This window comes from Homo sapiens, chromosome 13, assembly GCF_000001405.40.
Source record: "Homo sapiens chromosome 13, GRCh38.p14 Primary Assembly".
Lineage (NCBI taxonomy): Eukaryota > Metazoa > Chordata > Mammalia > Primates > Hominidae > Homo > Homo sapiens.
Window position 1 is genome coordinate 112,600,092 of NC_000013.11, and position 8,677 is coordinate 112,608,768.

Consider the following 8,677-nt stretch of genomic DNA (forward strand, 5'->3'; position numbering starts at 1 on the left):
TGAAATGGATCCTTTTAGCTGAGGCGACGCTGGTGGGATGCTGCGGTAGAGAATTCCCAAAGACGGCTGCAAATCATCCCATCCGTCTCTGTGTGAGTCTGTTTCTTCTCTCCATGATGTGGATTAGTTTTAACATTCTTTTATATTCTATCTCTCATGTCACACTTGATATTATAGGGGAAAAATGCATTCAACCTGCCTAAACTGGAAGCTGTATGATTAATGAGGTTATCAGTACTCAACCCAATTAATATAACGAGCTTCTGATTGATTGACTAAAACTAGTGAACAATCTTTAAAATTGCAATTAATTTATAAATTTATACTCACTTTTCTTTTATGAGATCAGAATGATTTGTTGTTCTGACATCATATCAACGGATTGAAACTTGAACCAGGCTTTGAAAAACTCCTATCTTTCAGGAAAATGTCATTAAACTGTTGAAAGTAGATGGATAAATTACTTTAGAAGTCAAGAAGTCTTTTAAACCACTCTCCTTTCTGTTATCTTGCTTTATGAGCATGTAGTGTTTCTTCTTATACTTAAAAAAAATTGGAATTAATTTTCAAAGGTTGACATTTGATAAGGCTTTACTATAAATATCGCTAGGATCGAAGGATGCTTTTTGCCTCTCTCTCCGGGTTGGCAAGCAGAAGCCACTACTCGCCTCTTCTCCAGAATCATTTTCGCCTATATTCTCCTGTCTTATAACTCAGGTCTATAGTTACGGTTTTTGAGGCATATTAAGTTTTTGAGTATGGTGTTTAAGGGGAACACTGTTTCTTTGATTCTAAACGTATTTTAATTTAATTTTAAAACACAATTTAGCTCACACCTGTAATCCCAGCACTTTGAGAGGCCAAGGCAGGTAGATCACTTGAGGCCAGGGGTTCAAGACCAGCCTGGCCAACATGGCGAAACCCCGTCTCTACTCAAAACACAAAAATTAGTCAAACGCAGTAGCGTTTGCCTGTAATCCCAGCTACTAAGGAGCTGAGACAGGAGAATTGCTTCAACCCAGGAGGCAGAGGTTGCTGTGAGCCAAGATCACGCCACTGCACTCTAGCCTGGGCCACAAAGCAAGATTCTGTCTAAAAAAAAAAAAAAAAAAAAAAAAATTTAAAAGAATACAAATGGCTTTTCATAATGGTGATGAAATGTCCTTGTTTGGACACAAAATTCCAGGACTAATATTTTAATCTTCTCTCATCTTGCTCGTCCTCATATGGCCCATTTAATAATGCACTTGCCATGAACTTTAACTTCAGTTTACTTATAAACTGGTTTTCTTTGTAAATTGGTTTAGTGTTCTCATTCTGTCGCCCGGGCTTGAGATGAGTGTGGATTCATTCTCTCGGTAGCGTTAACAGCGCTTCACAGTTCCCCGCGGCTCTGGCCAGGGCTGCTGTGAGGACTGGATGAGGTAACGAGAAGTGTGTGCTGAGACATCTGTGTTCGCCCAGGTGGCCTGTGACATCTGGAATGTCGGGTTCTGAGGTCAGATCACTCTCGAAGGTCAAGACCTTTGGAGTCAGGTTGAAGGTAGCAGTTGGGCATGCCCCAGTCAGGTCCGACTCATCCCCAGCCATGTGAGGTGAGCTCCGTGTCCCCCCTTTTCAGGCCTATACAACCTTCTCAAAGCCTCTTTCCGGATTCATCTTGCTCTAAAATATTGATTTTCATGACAGGATATTCCTTGTGGCCAATCAAGTCTATTAAGCTTCTGGAAGCCAGAGGGTAGGAGAACCCAGGTGCCCCAGGGCCATGGCTACAGAGAGCCCAGAAGAGTCCTGGGGTCCGCACTTCCTGCTGTGCCTCTGTAGCCCCGGGATGTCACTGCTGTTTTCATAAGTTATGATCACTGCACTATTGCTCCTTATGCCAGGCGCTTAGCAGTTATATCTCCAATCCTCACAACAACTGAACAAGGTCAGTCTTGTTCTCCCCATTTTTTAGAAGTGGAAGCTGCAGTCTGAAGTGGTGAGTAGCCTGCCCAAGTTCATGGTCGGGGGAGACCAGTGTTTGAATCTGTGCAGCGAGCCCCCCAGGCTGTTGCTTTCTGGCTGTATGGCAGTGCCTCGCATTCAGACATTTGTGATTGCTTAATATATTTTAATACACTCTCCAGTGTCTTTAGCCCTTCAGTCCTAAGGAATTAGAGGAAAGCATCAAGGGAGAAATCTGATAAGACATTTGAAAGAAAGAAGTTAATGAGTTTCCGGATGATTAGAGCGCTTATTCCCCTTCTGCTTGAACAAAGCGCTTCACCCAGATTAATAATATAAAGATGGAGAGCCTCTGTCCACCACAGAACCTGCAGCTGCAAACTCTTCCGTGAGCCACCACCGTGGTCAGAGGAGGTCTCAAAAGACCTTCTGAATAACTCTCTTTTCCCTCGGCACTGAGCATTGTACTCCATGATTGATTTGAAACACATGAATGCCCAGACGGGCCATTTATTTCTATAAATATATGTTATAAATTACCCTGGCGGCAGCAGGCTTCAGTTCACCTCTGCATAGGAGAGGAAAACATTTGTTCTTTGTCATATTTTTATATTTCATCTGCCTCACAAAACAATTGAGTGGGCTAGTGACCAACCATGCACTGCCACTGCTAAGTGTTCATTTTACCGAACGTTAGCTTGAATGTATTTTGAAAGATACAGCTGGAATTTACAGATGAGTCTGTATAATTTGAGGCAGACACTCAAAACCAAGAAACTCCCCCATCATGTGTTTTACACATTAACGGTTTTATTTTGCACAAGTTATATTTCTACACAAATGGCCCAGCTAACATTTATTTAGTGTATAATGTGACTATAAGATTACCATGTAAATATTCCCAAAGCAAGACCTGCATTATAGTCTGGTGTGCAAAGTCGGTTTTCTGTTAAAAAGCAGCTGATTTAATAAAGCACAGAAAGAGCTTGAGGCCGAAGACTGGGGTTAGGTGGCTCTACTACTGACGAGAAGAAATCATTTTACTTCCTCGCGCCTGCATTCTCAGCTAAGAAACACAAACTCTAGTATTTTATCAATTGTGGATTCTTACTGAAAGAACCAAATGGATCACAACCCATAAAGTTTGACCTTGCCTTCCGATTCTCCTCCAGGCTTCTCCATCCATGATCACAGATTTGCATACAAGAAGAACCGCAAAGTTATCTTTGCAGTTTCCCAGCCTATCTTTGTATTAAAAGTTCCAGAATTTACTCCACCTAAAACTGGGCAAGTCTTTGCTCTTTCCTAATGATTTTATTTAACTACTAAATCTCTAATATTTGGTAGATTTTGTTTTTTTAAAACTTAGAAGATATGAAGAATTCCATATAACGGTCCTAAATGTGCTAGGTGTGGTGGCTCACGCCTGTAATCCCAGTGCTTTGGGAGACTGAGGTGGGCAGATCGCAAGGTCAGGAGATCGAGACCATCCTGGCCAACACGGTGAAACCTTGTCTCTGCTAAAAATACAAAAGAAATTAGCCAGGCATGGTGGCATGCGCCTGTAGTCCCAGTTACTTGCGAGGCTGTGGCAGGAGAATTGCTTGAACCCGGAAGGCAGAGGTTGCAGTGAGCTGAGATCGCGCCATGGCACCCAGCCTGGGCAACATGAGTGAAACTCCATCTCAAAAAAAAAATCCTAAATGTTAGTAACAGTCACAAATTTATCATGCCTAGCATTTTTATCTCGGCTTATGGAATGGGGCCAAAGCTAACATACACAGAGTGAAAGGAAAGCAGAGAAGGAGGAAGGGAGAAGAGGGCAGAGGGAGGATGGAGGGAGAGAGGCTGTTCTGCTCTCTTGATTGATATCGATAATTGCTTTCTGCTTTCTTCATCCCAAATTGGTGCTCTTAACTCTCCTATTCTAGAAGCAAGAGCTAGAACAGAGACTGCAACACTGTCCACTTCCTCTGTTCAAATTTAGTCCTCCCTGGGATCCTATAGCAGTTTTCCAGTCAAAAAATGTGTTAATGGTGAACTCATAGAATCACTATTTCCAGTGAGAAAACAATCCAGTCAAATTCAAATGCTTTGCTCTCATTTGACCTACCAGTCTCTTATTAGGTTTCATTCCAGATCTTTAGAGTCTTGTATTATGGCTTTTTGTTTTCAATTCATGCATTCTTTTTATATTTCCAAGGTTTTCTTTGGGTATCTTTTAGTTTGAGAAACTATCTTCAAATATTCACCAACACACTTGTTTGTTTTGTTGTTGAGACAGGGTCTCACTCTGTCATCCAGGCTGGAGTGCAGTGGTGTCATCACGGCTCACTGCAGCATTGACCTCCCAGACTCGAGTAATCCTCCCACCTCAGCCTCCTGAGTAGCTGGGACTACAGGCATATGCCACCATACCCAGCTCATGTTTTAATTTTTTGTAGAGATGAGGTCTTGACATGTTGCCTAGACTGGTCTCGAACTCCTGGGCTCAAGCAACCCACCCACCTCAGACTCCCAAAGTGCTGTAATTACAGAAGTGAGCTACCATGCCTGGCCCAAATTTATTTTTATTTCATTGGCAAAAATAAGTTTTTTCCTGCTCCTAAGATAATAAATGTGCATTGAAAAATTTGGAAACCACAAAAAATACCCAAAGGATAAAAGTCAGGAGACAGCCCTGGTAATGGGTTAGTGCTGTCCACCCAGTCTCTCTCCACCGCGTGTGTGCATACACTTGTGATTGCACTACACATGATATTTTATAACCTCCCTTTTCACTCAATATCATATCTCATATTTTTCTATGTCATCAAAAAGGCTAACCCTTGGCTATTGAGGGCCTCCTAATACCCCATCACATGGATGTGCTGCTCTTTATGGGATTAATTTCCCTCTTCAAACATGACATCTGGCTTGTCTTTACATTTTTAAATTCTTCGCTATTACATATAAGAAAGTAAAAGCCATTCTAAAAGCAGCTTGGGGCCGGGCACGGTGGCTTATGCCTGTAATCCCAGCACTTTGGAAGGCCGAGGCGGGCAGATCACTTAAGGTCAGGAGTTTGAGACCAGCCTAGCCAACATGGTGAAACCCCGTTTCTACTAAAAATACAAAAAAATTAGCCGGGCCTGGTGGCAGGCACCTGTAATCCCAGCTACTCGGGAGGCTGAGGCAGGAGAATCACTTGAACCCGGGAGGCGGAGGCTGCAGTGAGCCAAGATCGCACCACTGCACTCCAGCCTGGGTGACAGAGCGAGACTGTCTTAAATGATAATGATAATAATAATAATAATAATAACAACAGCTTGGGACCCAAACCATTGGCTGAAGCCCATCTGTAAAGTCATGAATTTGGAGTAGACAATCACACAGGCTCTTTATCCCAACCTTTCCATGGAGCTCAGGCTGTCAGCCACCTCTTCAGAAGTCGGAATGCCTGGAGAGCCCTTAGTCCACGTGTCAGCTGCGCCTCCGTCTTCTGCCTCCACTTTGTCCTCCACCATTTGACCAGGCAGTGCTGGGAAGCAAGGAGGGGACCAGGCTGGAGCCTTAAGTCCTGGCGCAGCTGTCGACCGTCAGTGCGGCCACTGCAAAGCGATGTAAATGTCCCAGAGTGGGGCAGCTGGTCGGTAAGACGATGTCACAGACGCCTGGGAAGAGGAATGCACTGGATAAAACGCTGCGTCACTGAACTCTTATTCACAGCCCTGAGCATCCGCCTTTGATTATATTCATAGCCTTGAGGAAGAGCTAGAGATGAGGCATCTTTCCTCACGGAACAGCCGACACAGATATTACAGCCTGGCTTTGGGCTTCAGGAGACGGGCTCAGAGACATCAAGTGCTCTGCCCAAGATCACACAGCAGTGAGTGGCTGAGCAGAGGCCAGACCCCTCCCGCAGCCACTTTGTAATGGCGGCTACAATCACCGAGACGGGCTGAATTTCAAAGCCTCTATTTAAACAATGATGAGCTACAAAATGCATTCTTACTTCTTAGGTTAACACTTTACTCATAAATTAGGAGATTAAAAAGTCGATATAAAATGTATAAAAAATCTTCACCAGATGACTTCCACCGTGTCAGGAAGCTGCTATTTCTGTTACGTTTTACTGTTCTCTTCCCCAAATCCCTGGCGTGTTGCCTGGAAATTCGCGATTTTCTGTAACTCTTCTTCTAGCTCCGAGGATTTCGTTTGAAATTCCTGCCGCAGTCGGAAACATTTTGGAAGACCGCATTTGAGCATTTGATGCAGAAAAAACACACTCCCGGTTACCAGCAAGATCGCTGTGGGGAATGAGGCACTCGAGAAAATCTACATTTGGCTCTGAATTTTCTCAACTTCTTTCCTTCCTCTAGGGAAACAGAAGCGCGGAAAGGCGCCCTCTCCTTCCCTCAGTCTGAGGCTCTTGCCCGCCAGGCCCTTCCCGACTCCGCCCAGGCCACGGGCTGCCCCACCCACACCGGCCGCCTGAGGGGAAGCGGCGGCACCGCCCGCGCGGGTCCGGCCCTGAGGCGGCCTGGTGCTGCCCCCTGCCGTCCAGCGGGAATCGCAACCGATTTCAGAGACGAAATCTAAGAGTAACTGTCAGATGATTAGGAGGGTTCTCCCAGTTCTACAAATGAGTCTATTTGATCGTGGTCCACAATCTTTGCCTGACTGAAAAAGGCGGTTTTCAGAATGCGGAGGAGCTCGTTCCACCCTGCACGAGCAAGAGAACGTTGGAGGCTGCAAGGTGCCCTGCAAAGCCCTTCAGAAAGTCCTGGTGAAATCCCAGTGCCAGAGACGACTCCGAGCGAGATACTGCTTTGGACTTCCGTGTTCCAATCCTCAAAGTAGATTTCACTTGCAGGATTTTGAGAGGTTTAAAAAATACCTGGCAGGCATGTAAAAATGGCAGCAGTAAAAGAGGGTATGGAATTTTTATTTGTAGATTTCAATATATGAACTTTTTCAAGATTACATGAATAAGATCAATAGAGAGATTCACTTTAGCATACTGAGTCTGTTTTTAAATGAACCTTAATTTAGCATTATACATATGTCAGGATTGCATTATTTTATATATTAAAACTAATCCAAGATTAATGGGAAAATAGAGAATCTAAATTTATCCAATTATTTCAATAGTAGTACTTAATAAAGCTCCGGCTGTAGAGATTTATTGATTCGGCAAACAGAGATGGTCTCATCTCCACAGCACAAGAAACCCTGTGCATCACAAATGAGTTTCACGGGTTTAAAGTAAAATTTCTAGTAGCTGTTTTTTAAAAGTGTAAAATTAATTAATTAAGATTGTTTTATCTTGTATCTTACTTTGCAACCAGTAACATTGTGGCTTCAGAGCCACAAGTCCTAAATTTGAATCCAAGGCTGGCCTCTAGGCAAACACCTCTCAGATGCTAGATGGTGCCTTTGAAATAAGCACGTGTTATATAACCCAGTGTGCACAGAGGCCTCATGCCCACAAACTGTTGCTACCTGGGAATGTCAGATAGTCCTGCCTGCCACTGTCACCCCTGAACTGTATGACTTGTTTCTTCTCCTATGGCCTTGACTCTTGGTTCTTGACTCTGGTATTCACTTGGCCCTGGTGTCATCCATACTAACATGTTGTATATAAGATGCATGTGTACAGTGAGTTTTTATTTTTCTAATTACAAAATGAATAGATGTTCATTAAAAAATTACACCTTGCTGAAATCTGAACTAGACCAGATTAGCCTTGCAAGGCTCTGAAAACCAAATTGTTACTGGAATTACAGTTCACAAAAATAGGCCAGGTCCTATACACTGAACCTAAACAAAGCTACTGTCTGTTAAAAATCAGAAACTTAAATAGGATCAAGAATCTTGGCATAATATTAAAAGTGTGCAGGATACAAGCAAATATTGCTTGTCACAACAAGAAGCAGGAGAAACACAACTTGAATAAGAAAAGACAATCAGCTGACACCACAGTAAAGTAAATCAGAAGGTGGAGTTATAAGATGCTCAAAGCAGCCACAACAATGCTTCAACAAACAATTATGAACTCAGTTGAAATAAATGAACAAATAGGAAACTTAGCAAAAACGAGAAATTATTTTAAAAGGACCAAGTAGAAATTATAGAACTGAAAAGTAAAATAACAGAAATGAAAACATGCTAAATGAGCTTAATAGCAGAATGGAGACGAAAGAGGTTAGAACCAGTGAACATGAAGACTGAGCAATAACATTTACACTCTGAACAACAGAAAGAAGATGGACTAAAAAAAATGAACAGAGCCTCAGGGTCTATGGGGCAGTAAGAAAAGATCTAACATTCACAGCATTAGAGTCCCATAGGAAAGGAGAGTGTGGGGCTGAAAAGAAATTATATCTGAAAACTTTCCAGATTTGGCAAAAGACATAAATCTACAGATTCAGGAAACTGAGAGAATGCCAGTTAGGATAAACCCCCACAAATTCACACCAAGTCACATCAGAATAAAACCTTTTCAAAGACAAAGAAGCAAGCTTAGAAATCTGAAACCATGGAGTCCAGGAGGAAAGGAGCTGAAAGAAAAAGACTGTCGGCTGCAAATCCGAGACCTGGCAAAATGAGTCTTCAGGAGTAAAAGGGAAATAAAGACATTCTCAGACAAAGGAAAACTAACAGAAATGGGCTGAAAGAAACCTGCTGAACAGAAAGAAAATGTTAAAAGAAGACCAAAAATTGATTGGGCACAGTGGCTCACACCTGT

The 8,677-nt window shown here is 42.8% G+C and overlaps 1 protein-coding gene across 1 annotated transcript in view, besides 2 other annotated features; it reads right to left on the reverse strand.

The window, feature by feature from the left end:
* TUBGCP3 (tubulin gamma complex component 3) overlaps nucleotides 1-5,539 on the reverse strand; it is a 120,620-nt gene extending 115,081 nt beyond the window's left edge. Inside the window, exon 1 of the mRNA XM_017020323.3 lies at nucleotides 5,338-5,539. The gene's annotated coding sequence lies outside the window, so the exon portion shown is untranslated. The remainder of the gene's footprint in view (nucleotides 1-5,337) is intronic.
* Nucleotides 6,284-6,333: a silencer, noted in NCBI's record as "silent region_5532". NCBI's record gives its function as "represses an Ori minimal core promoter by ATAC-STARR-seq in GM12878 lymphoblastoid cells {active_cell/tissue: GM12878}" and the evidence as "EXISTENCE:reporter gene assay evidence [ECO:0000049][PMID:35858748]".
* Nucleotides 6,364-6,593: a silencer, noted in NCBI's record as "silent region_5533". NCBI's record gives its function as "represses an Ori minimal core promoter by ATAC-STARR-seq in GM12878 lymphoblastoid cells {active_cell/tissue: GM12878}" and the evidence as "EXISTENCE:reporter gene assay evidence [ECO:0000049][PMID:35858748]".